Source organism: Homo sapiens, chromosome 6, assembly GCF_000001405.40.
Source record: "Homo sapiens chromosome 6, GRCh38.p14 Primary Assembly".
NCBI lineage: Eukaryota > Metazoa > Chordata > Mammalia > Primates > Hominidae > Homo > Homo sapiens.
The window spans coordinates 4,442,879-4,464,802 of record NC_000006.12 but is presented as its reverse complement, the minus strand read 5'-3'; the positions used below and the strand labels follow the sequence as shown (position 1 = coordinate 4,464,802).

General features: G+C 40.3%; 2 long non-coding RNA genes across 3 annotated transcripts in view; one reads left to right on the top strand and one right to left on the bottom strand.

Annotated features, from left to right (window-relative positions):
• LOC105374894 (uncharacterized) overlaps positions 1-21,924 on the top strand; it is a 154,998-nt gene that overhangs the window by 119,043 nt on the left and 14,031 nt on the right. The window contains exon 3 of one of the 2 annotated variants that reach the window (XR_007059417.1): positions 824-3,444. The exons of the other annotated variant lie outside the window; for it this stretch is intronic. This is a non-coding gene — a long non-coding RNA (uncharacterized LOC105374894). Of the gene's footprint in view, positions 1-823; positions 3,445-21,924 lie in introns of those variants that run through there. 2 annotated transcript variants of the gene reach the window in all.
• On the bottom strand, positions 24-17,798 carry LOC107986561 (uncharacterized). Its single transcript, XR_001743939.2, has 3 exons — positions 17,659-17,798; positions 15,253-15,410; positions 24-135 (listed from the first exon to the last, which is right to left on the bottom strand). It is a non-coding gene; the product is annotated as an uncharacterized LOC107986561 (long non-coding RNA).

The window sequence follows — 21,924 nt, the reverse complement described above, 5'->3', positions numbered from 1 at the left end:
CTCATCAGAAGGCAACTGGTTGGACTGTGAATGGCTCACTGAATTGCTGATTGCAGAGCACCTCTGGGTGGGTTCCATGCACCCTCCAGCCTGTGGACCATAGCAGAACACATCTGGAAGGCTTTCATTTTTTTTCTTTGGAAAAGAGGGAAAGAGGAAGACATGACATTGAGTGAGAAAATGAGCGTATATTTGTTTGCTAGAGCCGCCATAACAAAGTACCACAGACTGAGTGAACTTAAACAACAGAAATTTATTATCTCACAGTCTGGAGGCTGGAAGTCTGAAATCAAGGTGTTGGCAGAGCCATGCTTCCTCTGAAGGCACAGAAGGATCTGTTGTAGGCCTGTCTTCCAGCTCCTGGGAACTCCTGTGGCAGTGTAACATCAACCTTCACTTTGACGTGGTGTTCTCCCTGTGTAGAGGATGTGTCCACATTCTGCATGTCTCTGTGCCTAAATTTCCTCTTTTATAAAGACATCAGTCATATTGGATTAGGGTCCACCCTAAGGACCTCGTTTTAACTTAACTAATTACATCTGCGATGACTGTATTTCCCAATACGGTCACTTGGGGTTAGGAGTTCAACATATGAATTTGGTTTGGTGGGGACACAACTGAACTCATAACAAAAGGTAAGAACTAACAGAGTATTTCAGCCAAACGGTTCCAGCCAACTGCTAGCAGGAGAGGAGACCAAAGGTGTGTCACAGAACGGCAGAGAACCAGGTATGGTGCATCATCCTAAGAGGGAGTAATGAGACAGAGCCTTGTGGTTTCTGCAGTGAAGGCTTGATCTCAACTAATGCTGTCTTCATTGCAGCATGGCCAATGATGACCAGGGTTGCAGAGTTTTCCGTGGAGCTCCAGGACCCAGAAGCCAACTGCTGTAGCTCCTCGTTGATGCTCTGTCTCCTGCATGCCAGCTGCCCTCCATCCCTTCCTGGGAGCCATGGATCAAAACTATTACTGCTGTCTCTGGAGGCCAAACACCAGAGGCTGGTGTTTTGTTTTAGAAAATACAGTTTATCCCTTTTCAATGACAAAAGAAATAATGTTCATTATAGCACAGTTGGAAAAAGCACCAAAGTTAAGAGCTCATAGGAAAATCATCCCTAATTCCAAGACCCAGACAACCCCTGTAAAATTTTGACTCATATATTACTCCTTTTTGTCTTCTTTTTTAAGGCATATTTTACAGTCTGTACCACAGCCTCTCTGTATCTACATACTTAGATTTTCCACATTATATAATGGATATTTCCTATGTTATTATAAATTATTCTTAAACATTCTTTCAATAGTTGTATAATATTGAGGATGACTAAATCATAATAAAGAGAAGCTGCTATTTTCTGCTTTCCACACACTATTCCAAGCAATGTACATACATTCTTCCCATGTGACTCTAGCAAAAGCCCAGTGAGGTAGGAATTAGTCTCATCATATAAATTGATAAGAAAATTGAGGCTCAAGGTTTTAGCAATGTGTTTAACAATGCTTATTAAACAGCCAAAGCGGGATTTAGACACAAGTTGGCTTGACTCCACTTTCCATGCTTCTAATCACTGCCTAATTTCTCTATTGCTGGACATGGAGTTTACCTCCTCATTTTTACTGTCGTGAATACTGCAAGGCACATCTTTGCACAGAACATTTTATTTCCCCTGTATTTTCTTATGATAAATTCACAGAACTGGAAATACTAGAGCCAGGAATTGAACATTCAAAGAAACCCCACCATTTTTGTTACTGCTAATTTGTTTTCCGAAAAGGTTGTGCCAATTTACATCCCTTCCAGCACTATAGGAGACAGCAGATTTCCCCACACTCAGCACAGGACGGTCTACTCTGTGAACTTCCCTGCTATTTATGATAGCTGGAAATGGATTGGTTTTTTTGTGTTTCTTTTTGCATTTATTTGAGTATTAGTAAAGTTACACATTTTTCCTTTTCTTTCCCCCCTTTTCCTCTTTTTCCTTTTTAGAAACAAGATCTTGCTCTGTTGCCCAGGCTAGAGTGCAGTAGTGCAATCATAGCTCACTGCAGCCTTGAACTCCTGGGCTCAAATGATCCTCCCACCTCAGCCTCTCGGGTAGCTGAAACTACAGTCATGTGCCACCACACCAGCCAATTTTTCAAAAAGTTGTTGTAGAGACAGGGTCTTGCCATGTTGCTCAAGCTGGTCTCAAACTCCTGGGCTCAAGTGATCATCTCACTTTGGCCTCCCCAAAAGTTTGTGGGATTACATGCATGAGCCACTGTGCCTGGCTAAGTTACACATTTTTCGATGTTTCAAGTCGTTTGTATTTTCTACTAAAAATTTGGAGCCATTTATTTGTAATGGTCTTAGTATTTAATTGAACCACGTGTAATTAAAATTTTTGTAAGTCAAACATTGTTGAATATCATCTCAGCCAAATGTTTTTTCAAATGCATTAAGAATATTAATTAATTTAGATACATTGGCTATAGATATTTTTGTTGATGTTTTGATATAGAAGTTTTAATTGCCAAAATGAGCATCCAATCATCTGGAAATTCTCTGAGTAATGAAGATGGCATGCTAATGATTGCCATGGACTATTTTTTAAAAAAAACTTTCCTGCTTTTGTGTTTTATTTGTCCCTTTTGTTCTTCCTACTCTTCTCCTGACCCCTCAGGATTGAATCCAGAAAGATGTATTTTCATGAGATAGGTGAAGGCTGGGTATCAATTTTGGAGAATAGGAAATATCATTGGAAGAATTACAGGTGCCAGTAACACAAGTTAAAACAGTACACCTTTATTATCCTTGATGCCATACACAACTAAAACTGTAGCCTGACAGCATTTGGGGCATAGCTTTAGCTGTAGCAACTAAGAAGATCTTTAAGGGGTGATCATGGCTTAAGTGTGCACATATGCCCTGCGTGACACTCACATACGTTGCCTCAGCGGAGAACTCACTGGCTGTGTCTTACTCTGAGCCAAACAAAGACAACGCCAGCCCATCTGGCTCTGAAACAATTTAATATCTTCTCTTTCCTGTAGGTAGACAGAGAACCATTTGAAAGTTAACTATCATGACTGCATATTGCACACACATTTTTAAACTTCTAAAAAAAAGAGAGAGAGAATGGCTACAATGAAGAGCGTCAAGTCCGCTTGTCAAATCTTGTGGTAAGAGGACGAGAAATGCTACTTCAGTAGCCACGAGTATTTCTGAGATCGCTAAGTAGCACTTGCTTTTAACATCTGCTGTTCAAGACCCTCATTTGTAGCAGCCTTTTCTGTTTGCTTCTGTTCACATGCGGAGGCAGGTGGGGTCAGATCCAGTTCAGGTTTCTTGAGCCTCTGATTAAAATGATTCACACCAAATCTCCCTTGGCCCCAAATACATCTTCACATCAAATACTGGTTATCTCCTATAAAACTGGGAAGCAAATCTAGGCTCCTTCAGTGTGCAAGGCTTTGATCGACCCAGTGGATCTTGCTGCTTTCCTAAAGCATCAAGGAGACTGCATTTCGTTTTCACAGTGTGGCTCCCAGGAGGGGAACTGAAAGCATTACAGATGATGTGTCTGCAAATACAATAAAATGTTCTTAGTGGGCGAGGAGGACATTTCCGACCCACGGTGCAGAGTGGATGAACTCACTGTTGGTTTTCCCGGGAAGAACACGGCTATTGTCACTTGGCTCCTACTTGGCGGATGCCGGCTAGGCTGGGGCGCAGTCAGTGAAGAGGAACAAAGTTTTCCTCTGTGCAAAGCTAATTGACCCATTCCCGGATCAAACCTGCAACCTCGGCCTTCTTGGCACCAGCCACAGACTGACTGAGCTAACGGGGACAAACTGTTTCCAAGTCATGTAGGAACAAATCCTTCGGAGCACAAGGCGTCTGCTGCCCGGCACAGGCTTCTCAGCGAGACCTTGGTGAATGGGCTGGAATCTCTGCACGGAGCAGCCAATTGGCAGGCAACTGACAGCCGCTGGCCTTTTGCACACAGGGCCTCACTGGAGCTGTACTTTGTTTTGCTGAAGGTGACTTATTCACACATCCCAGATGTTCCCTGTAACCGAGAGCCCTGGAAACAGCTACCGAAAAACACATGTGTTTTCTAAAGGCCTGACAGAAATAAATATGAGCAAACAGCCTGAGGTTGCTGTCTGATCACCAGGCAGTCTAAGGGCTGACCCCATCTCTTCATTTCCTCTCTGTGCTGCTGGGCCTCCCTTCCCTAATGGGGCAGGATCTGAACAGCTCTGGTTGTAGTTTTAGGGTTTGCTGTAAGTAGTTTGAATGTAATAAACTCATAGAAGAACATTAAAAGTGTTAAAAAGAGGGCAAGGAGAACAGAAAAAGCTGGTATTAGCTTGAAATGAATATGTGGAAAATGCAAGTATACTTTGAAAATGATAGCATCGTCTCATATTTGCTTTCGATTAAAACTTATACAGGCATTTTCTCCCTGCGGAAGCCTAAAGCTCTCCCTTGGAGGAATGTCAGCAGTGACACCTAGGTAGCCTCTGGCAGCTGAGGGGTAAGACACAGGAAATCAACCGCACGAATGCATTTGTCCTCCTCCTGGGACCCGGGCCCAGCTGTGCAGGATGCGTAATGCCCCTCTTAGGTTCTCTCGGCATCTCCCTAACTGGCTGCCTCGCTTCCACTTCCTTTCTGTCCAAATCCAGCCTGCAAATGGCCATGACACGGATCTTCCCAGGGCCTCACCAGCAATAAGTCGTTTCCCTACATGAGATGGCTTCATGCTCCACCATGTGAAATGCACGGGGAACAAACAGCAGTTGCCTCTCCTTGGCTTTTGAGACCTTCCCCTGTCTGCCATAATCCTACTTTCCAAACCCTCTCCTGACCCCACCAGGGTTGCCTCTGTGGCCCCCGACTCTTCCTGTTTCCCAGACCAGGTTGGACCCCATTAGAAACTTCGTGATGTTCTGCACCTCCTCTTCCCAGCCCTCCTCACAATCCCAATTCTCATTTAACCTCTTGTCCGCTTCTGTGAGCTCCCTGTGAGGGCCAGAGCTGAGCCATCTTCCTCCCTGTGTGTCTGCAGTGTCTGGTAAGGAGGTGCTCTGTGAGTCTTTGCCGGTTGAAGGAATGACTCCTCTTAACAACCAGCTGGCCCTGCCTTTTAATACTCCACATCCATTCTGTTTCGTCGTTTCTACCCCTAAGACTATGCTCCTGTTGCTTTCTCTACCTGAGAAGGCCTTCCCTCTTCCCATCCACATCCCACTTACCTTTGCTAGCCCCCACTCAGTTCTTTATCCTGTACAAGGTCGCCCTTGACCCCTGATCTCTGGCCCATCTGATCTGCCCTGAGTTCTCCCGCTTCCACATTCCTAGGGCACTCCCTGCACCACGGATGCAGGCCCTAACACATGCTACCTTGCAGTGTGACCTGAATTTTCCCCAAGTCTGGCCTCCCTTATCAAATCTGTATCCACCTTCCTAAATTCCTAAGAGCCCTGAGCAGAGCTGAGCACAGACCAGCTGTTCGATAAATGTCTGACTCACTATGATTGGGCAACTTTCCTGCCTCTCTCTGATTATCTACATCCTGTCCATTGTTCCAAGTCTGGCTTCCTTTGAGGTAGCTTTGTGGATGATGCCCACGTTGACCTCATGCCTGGCTCATGGTGTAAATCCACACTTTGTGGAACTCTCACCCCTTTTGGGATGACATGCTTGAGCACACACTCCCAGTAAACACACATAGTCCATGATCTGTGAACTTGACGTGGGTCCTGTTGTACCCTGACTCTCTGGATCACTGGTCTACTCTCAGGGGAACACAGAATGCACACTGGCGGCCATGGGGCTTCAAGGCACCGCTTGGCACTTTAGCCCATCTCATGTTGCTCTTGGACACCAGAGAACATAAGGCCTAAAATGTGTGGCTGGGGGTGTTGCCTTTTTGGGATAACTTTCTGTGCAAGTTGGAACTTCTGGTCCTGTTGTTTGACGCATGTATCTCTCAGTATAGGAGGCTGATGGTGGAACCCTTTGAGACCAGGAAACCCAACACCAGGAGACCAGACATTTTACTGGACACAGACAGACACTTATTTTAAAGATGCCTACTGCGCCTGGCACAGAGTAGAAACTTAACATAAGTTGATTTAAATTAAAAGCAATTGTGATCCTTGATGGCCAGCGCCCTACCTCATTGTACTGAAATGTCCTTTTAATGTGAACCTCGTTAAAAAATTTTGAAAATCTACATACTCCTTCAGACATTTTTAAATTGACATCTAACATCTTCATCATCATAGGGTTAAATAAGTTTACTTCTTATTAACAGGAGATAAAAAATGTTAAATATTTTATATGGTAAAATAAGATGAGAATTGATTATAATTGGAATACATATTTTATATTATTTCAAAAAAATATTTTCATTAGTTTATTGATTAAAGGATGACATATCGGAAATATATCAGGTGAAATTTTTGTTTGTCTGATTTATTGTATTTTGAAAAATCCACTCATCCTGCAAAAAATTCCAGTTACATTTATTTAAATGGATCAGTATCGCAGCCCTATATGACTTAGACATTCTGAATTATGAGCCCTCATGGGCCAATATGCCTTCTCTCTTGCAGAAATACGTATAAGACAGGAGAAGGCAGAAAGCCTTGTGAGCTCAAGGGCCTTGATTTATCTTTAAGTTTATCTCATTGCTTTAAACTCCCTCCTGCAGCAAAGCACCAAAGCAAGATTTGGGATGGATAAAGGATACATCTTTTTTTCTAAAGTGAGAAAAGCTACATTCTGAACATAGCTCATTTTCAAGCTGATTAATATTAGAAAAATACTACTGGAAATTGATTCCCCTGTAACTATCCTTGCCTGAGTATTATGGGGAAAGTCTTCAGGTCCCCCAGGTAAATGTGCACCTAGTTGGAGGAATGTCGGCCCAGGCTGCCCACCTAGTGATGAGACAGGTAGAACAAGGTGAGCATAAGTGCTGCCCGGGCTGGGAGCAAATGCCTTTCCTTGGTTCCACGGAGAGGGTGGTCCTTATCTTCATGGAGAAGCAGCTAATTGGCCTGTAATGAACACAGACAGAAATGAAAGGGTTTCTAAGCCAGGGACATGCAACAGAGTACAACACCTCTCAGAGGAGCAGAGGGCAGAGTGGTGGGCAGGCAAGGCTGAAGCAGAGGTGAGGAGGGAACAAAAGGCAGGGCACAGGAGCCAGCATGGCCTCAGGGTCAGACTCGCTTAGGTCAAGTGCACCCTGGTTCTTTTTGTCAGCCCTGCCCTGGGAAACCTAGAGCTCAGACTCCTGGGTCCCCAACTTACAGCCTTGTCCTACAGAAGGAAAACTGTACAGCTTTTGCAGCATGACACGCTGTGAATACAGTCTGGCCTCATCCTCTGTGGCTCTGGCACCTCCACAAGCCCCTGGCTCATGCTCTGGTCCCTGTGTCTTGTTCTTCTCAGACAAACCACACTCTGCCTGGCTTGAGTGCCCAAGCTGTCCCTCCTCTGTGTAGAATGACCTCCCTGTTAACTCACAAGTCATTGTTTCTGAGCCTTCTTTCTCTAGCGTGTCCGTTCCTACCTTCCCCCTTAGAGCAGAACTTTTCAAAGTGGGGTCCACTTCTGTGCCAGCATTACCTGGGACTTTTTGTGGGGAAAGAGAGTCGATTCCTAAGACACATCTGGAGATGCTGATTTGGTAGATCTGGAATTTGAATATGTAATATTGGAACTCCTGGGACAATGTCTGGGAAGCTCAATTTTTATAGACTGCCCAGATGGCCGGGTGCTCCTATATTTCCTAGAGCTTGGGATCCACCAGGATGCAGCTGGTGACTTCCTCAGTGTTCCCGGGCTCTCTTCAAATCTCTACTGGAGCACCTGCCATACCATACTGTAATTTGTTTATCTTCCTGTCTCCACTAGTGTCTGAACCCTCAAGAAGAGCATTGCCCTTCATCTTTGTTGACTCCACACCAGAGCAGGGCCTGGCACATAGTGGTGTTTGATTGTTTGGTGGTTGCTATGGTTTGAATGTCTGTGTTCCTTCAAAATGTATGTTTAAATTTAATGCCCAATGCAATATACTAGGAAGTGGGACCTTCAGGAGGTAATTAGGCCATGAAGGCTCTGCCCTCAAGGATGGGATTAATGCCCTTATAAAAGCGCTTAAGGGAGCAAGTTTGTTCTTTTTTTCCCTTCCACCATGTGAGGACACAGCAAAAGGTGCCATCTGTGAAGCAGAAAATAAGCCTTCACCAGACACCGAATCTGTCAGCACATTGATCTTGGACTTCCCAGCCTCCAGAACCGTAATACATTTTTATTATTTACATATTACCCAGCCTAAAGTGTTTTGTTGTAGTAGCAAGAATGGACTAAGACAGTGATCAACGTGTTGCTGGTAAATGGTATACAAGAGAGAACGCGAATATCGTCAGAGTTCTCCTTCCTGGGTATCAGCATCAATGAACATAATGCTCTAAAACTTGAAGAGAACCACCTGCTGGAATCTAGGATCAAGCTAAAGGGCTTTGCAAGATGCAAAAGGCAGACCCAGATAGAAAGAGACGGTGCACCATGCCTGACAGCCATTTCTCCTTTCTTCCTCAGTAACGAGATCTGAGTTTACGAAAGGCAACAATGCACCCAGCAGAAAACTCCACCTCACAGTCGCCCTTGTAAATAGGGTGACTGAAGAGATTTAACAGAAGTCACTGTGTCTGCCCTACCTTCTTGCAGCCTGGAACACTGACTACAGTTGCAGCAGCCATTCTACAACCAAGGATGGATGCCCTGAGCAGGGAACAGAAAGCTAGACAAAGCCAGAGTCTCCATGACATAATGGAGCCAGCATGTTGGCCATACATTGCCCACCTTTGGGCTTCTTTTACATGAGACACAAAACAAACAACCATGAAACCCCTATGTCGTTTAAGCCACTGATAGATAGGTTTTCTGTATATGCATTTGATCCTACTCTTGACTAAATCATATGGGTTGAGATTATTAGTTTTGTGAGCCGATCGTCCATTATAAATTTCTTGTTTGGTGTCTACTTGACCTGAGAGATGCAAGACTCACCTTCCACTCTTACAATTGCTGTGCCCAGTTCCTCAGGGTCCTTGGTGCTCTCTGCCCAATGCTATTCAATCTTTTAAGTTACTTGAAGAGCAAGAAGCTGGGCTCACTAGCTACTTGTGATATCAACCAAAAGGGCCTTCAAATTCTTCAGTAAACCTGCTGTGCTTGGGAAACCCTGGAGGGTGGTCATGGGCTCTTTAATTTGTACCCAGAGGAAACACACAGCTGGGAACTTATTATTCCTGGGATCTTCTTCCTCAAAGGCAGTCACCTTTGAGTTTTAATTATATAGGCTTTAATCTTCCAGTTTGCAGTTGACACTAACGTTTTGTTGGTAGTGAATAACAAGCTTATAAGGGAAAACTAGGAAAATTTCACAATTGTATAGGAGGAGGAAGTGCAAAACTGTTTATTTTTGGGGGGAGGGAGTTCAAGGTTTAAGGATTTCAAGTCTCCTGAGTGGGTTTTTGATGTAAACAAAGATAATAAGCAAGAATATCAAGATAAAGCTATTAGCATCATTTTAGTTCCAATAAAATGAAGATATGTCTATAAGTCTGGTCCAGAGTACTGTACTGTCTATAAACCTAATCTAGCCAAGGGAAGTCCTAAGAATCCACACACAGTGATCAAAACAGTAGGAAGGAGGCTGGGTAAAGGCACTAACATGGACTTTGGGGGTGAAAGAGAACTGGGTTTAAGGCACTAACATGGACTTTGGGGGTGAAAGAGAACTGGGTTTAAATCCCTCTTTTGCCATCTGTCGTGAAATGAGGGCACACTACCTATCTGGCAAGGTTGTCATGAGAATTAAATAGGAAACCACATGTATAAGGGGCTGGCCATAGAGAACACAGGATGTGGCATGGGAGAGTGAGCAAGGTCAGATTAGGGTGTGCTTTGCCATCCTAGACACGGTTGTCTGAATCTAGACTCCTTTACTTACTTGCCCCATGACCTTGGACAATTTTCTCCTTTACAAAATGGGGCCAGTAATGTATCTTACCGATAGGGTGATTGTGAAAATTGTGTGACATCCTGACTCCTCATTCTTTCTTTTTCCTCTGAATCCCAAATTGCTGAGCCCTTCTGGAGAAAGTTAAGAGGTGGAAATTGATTGACCCTCCAACACCGTTCTGCAATGTTGGCATTTCAGAGGAACAATCTTTCATTTCATTCCCAATTTCCTACAAACCGCCTACCACAACTGTTCCTGTTCTTACTTCTTTAACACCTTAAACTTTGTCCTATCCCCTTCTTTCAGCCAAAGACCTCGCTACCCACTTGGTAGATCAGGGTCACTCTTGTAGACTCCTGAGTGCAATCTCTCTCCCCTTCCTACTTTATGTGGGTCTTTACCACTCTGTCTTATCTATGAGAAAGACTTGTTTTCTATTTGAGATCCCTCTACCCCTAATTCCCAAACCAAGACATTTTTTCTACCCCTTGTGCCTGTTAAATGGCACTTAGGCATTCAGAAAATAAACACATTAAGTACCAAGGGGTTACCAAGAGCCCCTTAAAAGTTCTACCTTCCTCAAATTCAGTGTTTTTCACCCTATGTGCTCTCTCCTTGTCTGTCTCATGTCCTCTTGGGATCCTGATATGTCTCTTTGCAGTAAGTTTGTGAATCTAACTTTCCTTCTTTTTTGTTATTGAAGACCCAGAGTTTCATCTGTCAGCTGGATACCTCCATGTGAATGTCTCAGTTACCTCCAGCTCAACAAGCAGCTGAACACATGATCTTTCCCATTGAACTTGGGGTCAGCCTCCCAAGAAGCCAGGCTCTAAATCTCCCAGCCATCTCTATCTTCTCCTCTTTTAGCTCCCTTTGCTGCACAGGTGGCAGACCTCCTCTTCTTTTCTCTTCCACATCTGGTGTCTTAGCCCTGGTTCCTCTAATATGGACAATGAGACAATGAAATAGCTCCTCAACTGGTCTTCTCAAGTTCTGTCCTTATCCTTGCCCTAGCCCCCAATTGGTGCCAAAGAATAATTTGATGGAATTCTACACCCATTCATTACTTAAAAATAAATAATAAATACACAATCAAGTAAACCTCCTATCAAACTGAAAATAAAAAGACAACTAACATAACGAAGATTATCTTAGACTGGCAGCCAACATCATATTTATCAGTCAAATGTTGCGGCATTCTCTTTAAAGCCATGAACAGGACAAAGATGCTCTTCATAATTAATAGCAAGAAAAAAGAATAAGAAAAATAAGACAGAAATAGGTATCATTATAATTATATCATTATATCATTATTATATAATTATATATATCATTATATCATTATAATCATTATAATTAATAGCAAGAAAAAAGAATAAGAAAAATACGACAGAAAAAATAGATATAACCATTATAAAGACAGGCAAAATTATCTCACAGTATTTATTGATTTTTTGAGGAAATGGATGAAAGAATGAATCACATGGATAAATATTTATGGTAGATTAAGAGAAAAAATAGTGACAAAAAAGAATATGTAGTACATAATCCCAATTTAGTGAAAGAAAATAAATAATATTCAATGAATGAGGAAAATTTTTATAGCTGAAGAAAATTGGTTTGCAAATGTCCATACATTAGAATCCAAGTTTAATTATATATTGTTTTCCCCAAAATTGTTCTTCAAAGATAGAAACCAAAATGTTAACAATAATTATTTTTGGGAGATGATTTTATAGATGAATTTTATTTTATTTTGCTCTTGTGTTTATTTCATGTTTTTATAGAGAAATGGATTCCTTTGAAATTAGGGAAATATTATGAAAAAAAGAAAGCTTCTAATTTTTAAGTTCTAATATAGACACTAGGCAAAGGTTAACTTTCCTGGCATTTTCCTTGTGGCTGTCCAAAAATTAGCTACTCATCAACCATTCACACAAGATGTAATGTCGTCTTTCTTTCAAATGCCTTAATGTGTTCTAAATGTAAGGAACATTCTTTTTCTCTTTCCAAGAACTTCTAGGCATGAAACACCCTTAGGGAGAATTTCCTTCTTAGAAGTGATTTGTTAGTTGGTGTCACAGTTCTCAGAAGTTCTGTGAATAAGTCAGGGACCCAAGATCAGGCATAGTAAAGTTAACCTGCAGCTGAAGAGTATACAGCTGATTTTACCATTATGGTGGATAAAGAGAGGAGGGCCTTGTTGGCTTATTGAGGCAAGAAAATTGACAGGGAAATCTTGAACTGAGTCACAGAGAACACTGTTCAGTCTTGCACCTGTTCAAAATCAAGAAGACCCTTAGGATTGTGACCCAAAACTGCCACAACAAGTGTTCGGTCCAATTAGAAATTAACAAACCCATCTGATTTGGGAAATTCAGCTACACCTCCCAATGACCTAATCCTTCTCCACTCCTGATGCTATTTTTTGAACCCTTTAGTCTTCAACTTGACATTGTCCCAGTTTTTGGATTTCTGATCTCCTGATTGTGAATTCTGTTACTAGTCTCCCATACTGACTCCCAAGACCATGAGCCTAGCCAGGTCTCTGGGTTATATCTCTGCACAGCTGGTCAGGTGGGGCATACAATACAAAGTGGTGCTAAAGCCACAGACTGTAGGGCATACTTCTGAGTATATTCTCACTGGGGGTTCACTGAATTTCTTAGATCTGTGAGTTTCTAATTTTCATCAAATTTGGAAAGTATTCAACCGCTTTATCTTTAAATATGTTGTTCCCTTCCCTCTTTTTAGGATTTAATTACACATTTAAACAACTTGCTGTTATCCTAGAAGTCTTTGAGGCTCTGTTAATTTGATTCAGTTTTTTTTCTCTACTTACTTTATTTTGAATAATTTCTATTGTTATTTCTTCAAGTTCATTAATCTTTTCTTTTGCAGTGTCTAAACTGTTGTTGTCAAGCCTATCTAGTGATTTTTTTTTTCCATCTCAGATACTATATTTTTTATCTGTAGGAGTTCCATTTGGTTCTTTTTTATATATCCTTCTTCCCTACACATGAAGTTGTTTTATTTTAAATCCTTCAGCATACGTATAATAGTTGTTTTAACGTCTTTGCTCATTCCACAATTGGTGTCGATTGTGGTTCTGGGTCTATTGACTGATTTTCCACTCCAGTTTATGGGTCTTATTTGCCATTTCATGTCTAGTAAGTTTTTACTGGATGGTGACCATTGTGTTATTAGGTTGCTGAGTGTGTGGATTTTGTTGTCTCCCTGTAAATAGCACTGAGCTTTGTTGTGTCAGGCAGTTAAGTTATTTGCAAATCAGCTTGATCCTTTCGAGGATTGCTTTTAAGCATTATTAGGACAGGTCTAGAATAGCCTTTAGTCTAGGGCTAGATAAGCTGTCTCACTACCCCTTCTGGAGATTCTACTGAATGCTTCAGCTATTTGAAATTCCTCCACTCTGCATTATTGGAACACAAGTGTCTATTGCTCCTCTGTGAGTTCCAGGAATTGTTGATCATAATGTTCCTTAGCAATTATTTGTCTGGCCTCATGGAGATCCCCCTCTGTAGACTTATGGAATTTCTGTAGACTTACGCAGATTTCTCAGCATAGCTATCACTTTTCTGAATTCTTTCACACAAATCCTAGCTACCTTGGGATCCCTGAACTTTAATGTGTCTCTTCAGTTCAGAAAGACTACCATGCATTGTGCGGGCTTTTTTGCCCCACCTCTTGGTCTGGAGAGTGTTTTTCAGGCAGAAGCTTCTAAATTTCTTTCCTCCCTCCCTCCCTCCCTCCCTCTCTTTCTCTCTTCCTTCCTTGTTTTTATAGAGAAATTGATTCCTTTGAAATTAGGGAAATATTATGAAAAAAGCAAGCTTCTAATTTTTAAGTTCTAATATAGACACTAGGCAAAGTGTCTTTCTTTCCTTCCTTCCTTCCTTCCACTCCTTCTCTCTTTCTTTCTTTCTTTCTTTTCTCTTTCCTTTCTCATCTTAAAATAGGGTCTCTTTTTTAAGAGATAGGGCAATCATAGCTCACGGCAGCCTTGAATTCCTAGGTTCCGCCTAGCATCCTCCTGCCTCGGCCTCCTGAGTAGCTGGGACTACAGGCAGAGACCACCATGCTGGGATAATTTTTTTATTTTTTAAATTTTTTGTAGAGATGTGGTTTCCTATGTTGCCCAGGATGGGAGAAATTTTTTTGATTGTAAGGCTTGTGTCTTGTTTTCCTTCTCCCAGGGATTACAGCTCTCTGCTTCCTTTTGTCTAATAACTGTTCTGTATATGGAGCCCAGTGTTTTAGCCTAGTACCATTTACTAGAACATGGCTGGAAAGTGATCCTGTTGGAGCAAAGAGGAGGTGCAGGTTGAAGAGGTTATGCACTAAGAGCTAATTCACTTAAATAAACCATGTTTTAAATAGCTTTGGAAAGCCATAAAGCATCGCTAGTATAGGACATAGTTAGAGAGCAGTAATTTTACTTTCTTTTAATAATTTCAGATATAATCTAACATATAATCAACTTACTAAAACCTTTTTAATATTTTAAATTTTTTCCAGCCCCCTGGTGTCTCTGTTCCCCTAAAAGTACAGATGGCTAGAATAATAAGCTGTTTACTGTCCACAGAAAACTAGAACCAAATAAAAGGGGTTTTGACAGTTTCTTTGCCAAAATACAAAATGATCTGATCATTTGTCAACACTAAGTATTACGACTGATTGACTCCCAAGCAGATGTACAGAATTACACTCACATTAGCATTGTATAAGAGATTACATTTTCCCACATTCTTACCACACTTAGTGTCATTGGACTTTTTAGTTTTTCCCAATTTGGTAAAGTTAGCACAAGGAGATCATGAAGACAAGAAAAGATGTATAAGAATAGAAGATAAACTTTGCATTAGTAGGAGGATAAATTATAGTAGAATGTCATGTAGCAGTTAAAGTAAATTAATTGCTCCTACCAGTTTTAATAAATCAAAATATTAGGCCTAATCCTGAGCCATGAAGAAAGTTGCAAAAGGGCACATATAGCATAAGGACATTTTTTTAAAGAGTTTTAAAACATACAAGATAGTACCTATTTATAGAGCAGCAGCTACAAAACCCAGTGGTCTCAGCACTGGCTGCTGATTAGGATCACCTGAGGAGATTTAAAACATACCCAACCCTGTGACTCACCTCTAGAGATTCTGATTAAGTTGAATTTAGAGTCACCATTTAAAGCAATTCAACTTACCAGTACAGAGCTTCCCAGGGGTGTCCAAGGGAGAGAATACAGTCATGGGTTCTTAGTTACTATTTCTGGTTGGGCCAGTAAAGCCCCTTCCTCATCCTTCTTTTCCACCTGTCACTAGAGACAGAAACTAAAAACCAAGGCGTCAGGCTGCTAAAAGCCTAAAACAAAACAAAACAGAACAACAACAACAAACTAAGGCAGGATGGACGAGCTTGCTCATTCAATGATGCAAAGTACATCTCTGTATACCACACATATATAGTTTATCTTTTATCTTCCTTTTGGAGTCCATATTCAGACAAACTTTTCATAGGAACCGCCTTTACTTTAATTTCCATTGGCTAATTGTGTAAATTTGACAAAATTACTTAATTTTGGCATTGCATTTTTTCTTCTTCTGTAAAACGAAGATAATAATCACACTACCCTTTTCAGGGCTATTATGAGTATCAAATTAAGTTATATATGTGAGTAAAATGGAAAGCAATTCACAAATGTTAATTATTATGAGTCTCCCTGCTCAACATTACCATATGCTGCTTGAATTACATCTGCGTATGCTTGTGTGTGCTGAATTGTTGTAATTTCCTGTCTATTTTTATGTGTATACTTATATAACCTAAATCCCAATTCAATTAAGACTTTTTGGGGGCAAGAAACAAGATTTATACTTCTTTAGTATACCTTATTTTCCCTATTTCTCTGATTAGAAGCAAAAAACATTGAATTGAATATATTAACAGAAACATAGTGCATAATTTTAAAAAATTTTCTTTGTTACAGTAGCTATTAACTTTGGCAAGTATACTGTACACACACATTATATATATACACACTATACACACATACATATACATATATGTATATATGTGTGTATATTATACATATTATTATATTATAAACATATATACGTGTGTGTATATATACACGCACACACCTGTAGAACATATGGCAGGAGGATTTTTTTTACATATTAACCTTTGATTCTTTTCCTCTCCGAATGTCTCCTTTTCCTACCATTTTCAATCAGATAACTTGGCTCATTGGTACTTGCTGCATTGTGTGAGGGGAGGGATGTATCAGGATCAAAAGCAGAAATGACCTATCGGTCTTTTTTACTTTCATCTCTAAAAGCCTAATTTCAGAGCAGCCTAATTTCAGAGCAGGCAAAAGGATTTGATGTATGGACAGAAAGTCTTGCCAGAAACTGTGGAGAGCACAGAATGTTCCATTCTCCAGGCAAGAGAAAGATTCACCCAGGCTTAGGGAAAAAAAAAAAAAGGAATAGAAAGGAAGATGGTGCTGGGAGGTGGCAAGATCCCAGAGAAGGAGGTGGGAGGGGCATGTAGTCATGTGGGCAAAACTGAGAAGATTTTCGCATCCCAAACATGACTCAGGAAAGGGAGACGGCATCTGGACCTGAAGGAGCTGTTGTGTTGGGATGGGGACATTCTCCATGGCAACTCGTGTGGACAGGTGGCCAAGGAAGGCATTTTCCTATAACTCCCCATGCCTTGTCCCTGTATGGGACTCTGAAACCATGCACAACTCTGGCCATCATGGTGCAGCAGAGGCTAATAAAGACTGAAGTCAGCATTTCTTAACAACTTAGTAGCCAAATGGGAATTAAATGGTTCAAGAAATCAAAGAAAATTCTGTTTCTTGCATATTTGGGAATATGAGCTGTGATTCATACTCACCACATTTATGCATATACATATTCTTGAACGGCTATTTATATTTCACATTTTTGTTTACACACACACACACACACACGCCATACAACTCAGGGTTTCCTGCCAGAAAGCACATTTATTTGTATTTTTCTCTTTTCTAGAAAGAGGTGTGTCCAAGAATCACCTTGGAATCCCTGTAGTAGCCTCACTATTGGGAAGGCACTTCCATATTACCATGGAGTCACCAGTACGAGGAAAACGCCACCTCGAGATATTTCAGAAAGGCAACAGCCCTGAGTGAAGAGAGCATATATAACACCCTCAAAGAAACTCAGACATATTATGTCAACCACATAATCTGTTACTAAATGGCAATGCTATATTAATATTAACATGTTTCCATTGCTGGTAAGGTTTTCCTGATAGGAGAGTTGACATACAGTTTTATGGTAGATTAAGAATAATAAAACCAATGTTATCTTATTAACAATGACAAACTGACATGAAGACAACAGCGGCTAGTGATTTCCACTGCAAGGCACAGCTGGGCTGTTTTTAATGACTCTTAAAAAGAAGGTGATCCAGAATTCCTGGCGTGTAGCCTGGAGCATACATCCTCAGAGATGTGGGCTTTTCGTTCCCGTGAGAAAGAAGATAAAAATTGGGAAATAATTGAGGACACTCGCTGAAAAAGAAAGCTGCTTGAAATGTGGAATTGCATCTTACTCACCATCGTGTTCTTCCCCTTTGCCCTTCTTCCTGTCTGTAGTGCAACTGAGATATCTATTAATAGAGACACCAGTCTGTGCTGCAGCAGCAGTCTTCCAACCGTGGAGACAAATGCTACCTGGTAAAGAAAGCAGAGTTAGAGAAGTGTCTGTTCATATCCTTCGCCCACTTTTTGATGGGGTTGTTTGTTTTTTTCTTGTAAATTTGTTTGAGTTCATTGTAGATTCTGGATATTAGCCCGGGTGGTGGGAGGGGGGAGGGATAGCATTAGGAGATATACCTAATGCTAAATGACGAGTTAATGGGTGCAGCACACCAACATGGCACATGTATACATATGTAACAAACCTGCATGTTGTGCACATGTACCCTAAAACTTAAAGTATAATAATAAAAACTATGAGTCCATAATGTTACAAATAAATGATTGAATAAATATATAAATGGAGAAAAAAAAAAAAGAAAGTAGAGTTAGAAGACAGAAGGGGCCTGAGTTCTTCATAACTCCCTTAGGCAGTTGACAATTGCCTATGACTGCCCAACTCCAGATTTCTTGTTACAAGAAGAAAATAATCTCCTTCTGTCTTAAGTCACTGTGGTTGGGTTTTCTGTTCCTTGCAACCGAATGCCTCCCTAATCAAATTTACGTGCAGAGCTATGATTGCCTAATATAAGAAACATTATATACACAGGGCAGGATTTATTGGTAATAATAGCGAAGGTAAATCCACATTTTAGAAAGTTTTCTTGGAAATTTGGAAGATTTCTGGCTAAGCCCCTGTCAAATCAGATTGGACTCTCACTGCTTTTACTCACAGTGGGGCTGTGTAAGAGCTCAGGACTGGAGCTGAGGTGCCAGTTCTGGTACAGTCATGCTGTTCTTTTATGCTTGCCATATTAGTATTATTTTCAGTCCAGGGGATTTTTTTTTTTTTGAAGAAACCTTTTAAGTCACTGTTTAATCTTATGAGAGTTACTTTAATTAAAATATTATAATGTACATGTCCACATAATCAGCAATATAAAGTGCAAAAGGCACATCTAATCTGAAAGCAAACATACAAGGGAGAACCCCAGTTTTCCCAACCTCCCTTCCCCAGTAAACATGAACATCTTCCACTTCCTTAGGGGCCAGCAGGCTTGCTCTGTGTATTATACAAACTGAGCAAAAGCTACACTATTAGTCTAGATACTAAATAGTAACAGAGCTCAACTTACTTACTTCAAGAATTAAAACAGAGTATAGTGAATTTGATATTCTACAGGGCTAGTCTAAATTTTCTGTTATAATATAGCTAGATTTTAGATAAATTGCTCCCCTTCCAAATTATTTTTCACCCACTGCTAGGCTTGTGAGAGAGTCTGAGAAATTTTCAAGAAACCAGAGTTCTCACATCTTATAAAAGATATTAACTCAACATGGATCCTGAACTTAAATATACAACATAAAACTATGAAATTTTTGGAAACATAGGAGAAAAATCTTTAGGATGTAGGACAAGGCAAAGAGTTCTGAGGCTTGACAACAAAGGCATGATCCATGAGATGAAATACGAAAACATGTATTTAATCAAGAGTAAAAACTTTTGCTCTGCAAAAGACCTGATTATGCGGATAAAAAGGTGAGCTGAAGACTGGGAGAAAATATTTGCAAGCCATATATCTGATAAAGGACAAGAATCTGGAATATATAAAGAACTCTCAAAACCAAACAATCCAATTTGAGAATGGTCAAAAGATGTGAAGAGCTATTTCACTAAAGAGAATACACAGATGGAAAATGTACACATGAAAAAACGTTCAACATCAATGAGAACACTTGGACACAGGAAGGGGGACATCACACACCGGGGCCTGTTGTGGGGTGGGGGGAGGGGGGAGGGATAGCATTAGGAGATATACCTAATGCTAAATGATGAGTTAATGGGTACAGCACACCAACATGGCACATGTATACATATGTAATAAACCTGCACGTTGTGCACACGTACCCTAGAACTTAAAGTATAATAATAATAAAAGAGATATAATAACAAAAAAAGAAAAAAATAACTTACCATTTAATATGTCATTACTTAGTCCTAATTGTTCAAACACGATGCTTTGATTGAAAAGATTACTGTATCCTTACCATTAAATAAGAATACAAACAATTCATATAATTCTGTTTTTTTTCAGAATAAATTCCCATATGTATACTTTTAATTGAGGAATAAACATATATAGTGATGGATAGAAAAAATGTTCAACATCATTAGCCATTAGGGAGATGCAAATTAAAACCAAAATGAAGAATAACTACACATCTATCAGAGTGGTTAAAATAAAAAACAATGACAACACAAAATGGTGGTGAGGATGAGAAGAAATTGGATTCCTCATACATCACTGGCGGAAATGTACAGCCACTCCAGAAAACAGTTTGGCAATTTAAAAAAAATAATGAAACATGTAATTGCCTTGTAACCCAGGAATTGTACTCCTGGGCATTTACCCAGAGAAATACATATTTATACCTGAATGCATACAGCAGCTTTACTTGTAACAGCCCCAAACTGGAAATAACCCAGATTTCTTTTGATTGACGAATGGTTAAACAAACCATGATACATCTACATCACGGAATAACACTAAGAAAGAATACACCATGGATACATGCAGCAATTTGGATGAATCTCCAGATAATTATACTGAATGAAAAAAGTCAGTCTCCGAAGATTACATACTGACTGATTCCTTTTATATAAAATTATTGAAATGACGACATCGCAGAAATGAAGAATAGATTAGTGCTAAGGGTGAAGGAGGGGATAAGGATGGAAGGAAGTGGATGTGACTATAAAAGGGCAATCTGTGGGATTCTTGTGATGTTGGAAATGTTTCGTATCTGACCGTATCAATGGCAACGTCTTAGTTGTGATGTTGTACTGTAGTTTTGCAAGACGTTATCATTGGGACAACCTGGGTAAAAGATACATGGGATGTCTCTGTATTATTTCTTACAACTGCATGTGAATCTACAATTATCTCAAAGTAAAAAGATTAAGTTTAAAAAGTAAACAAATAAAACAGTGCTTTGAAACCAAAAGATGAATGATAAGCAAACACTGCACAGTTATGGTCAACAGAGTACATGTGAAGTCCATGGCGAATGGGAGGTCTGGAACCAAGTGGAGTCTCTTGAATACCTCTGGAGTAAAGCATGCCCAGTTAGGCTTTCAGGATCCCCACAAATTAAGTTCAACCAAGTAAGAGCTCATAATAAAAAAAAATCACCAGGCTAGATGTGGTGGCTTATGCCTCCAATGCCAGCGCTTTGTGAGGCTGAGGTGATCTCTTGAGACCAGGAGTTTGAAACTGCAGTGAGCTATGATCATGCCACTGCACTCCAGTGTGGGCAGTAGAGCGACACCCTGCCTCTGAAAAAATAAAAATTTACCAAAGGCACAAGGAAACACCTCACCATAAAGCAGAGCCAATAGGTAACATAAATTTTAGTGTAAGACCCCCCAAGGACATCACATATTTTACTTTCTGATGCAGAGTGTAAAATAGCTACATAAGGAATGATTAAACTTGATAAAGGATGAAAATTAAAAATAATGAATCAGAATGCAAAACAGCTATGTAGACTAGAAAATGAAATAGAATTTATAGAAGTAAAAAATTGCAATTGTTGAAGTTAAAACCTCATGGGTCAATGCCTCTATTCTGCATGGTTTGAAGGCCTAGCCAGAAAAATCAGGTAAGAAAAAGTAATAGAAGGCCAGGCACAGTGGCTCACACCTGTAATCCCAGCACTTTGGGAGGCTGAGGCGGGTGGACCACAAGGTCAGGAGTTCGAGACCAGCCTGGCCAACATAGTGAAACCCCATCTCTACTAAAAAATACAAAAATTAGCCGGGCATGGTGGTGCACGCCTGTAGTCCCAGCCACTGGGGAGGCTGAGGCAGGAGAATCTTTTGAACCCAGGAGGTGGAGGTTGTAGTGAGCCAAGATAGTGCCACTACACTCCAGCCTGGGCAACAGAGTGAGACTCCATCTCAAAAAAAAAAGAAGGAAAGAAAAGAGAAAAAGAAGAAATAAAAAGTAATAGAAGATATAAGCATTGGGATAGAAGGAACAAAATTCATTATTTACAGGTGATATGACTGTCTACATAGAAAACTCAAGAGAACTTACAGAAAAATATTGTCAGAATTAATGAGAGTTTATCAAAGTGGCTAGAATAGAGAACAATATGCAAAAATCAAATGCACTTTTATAA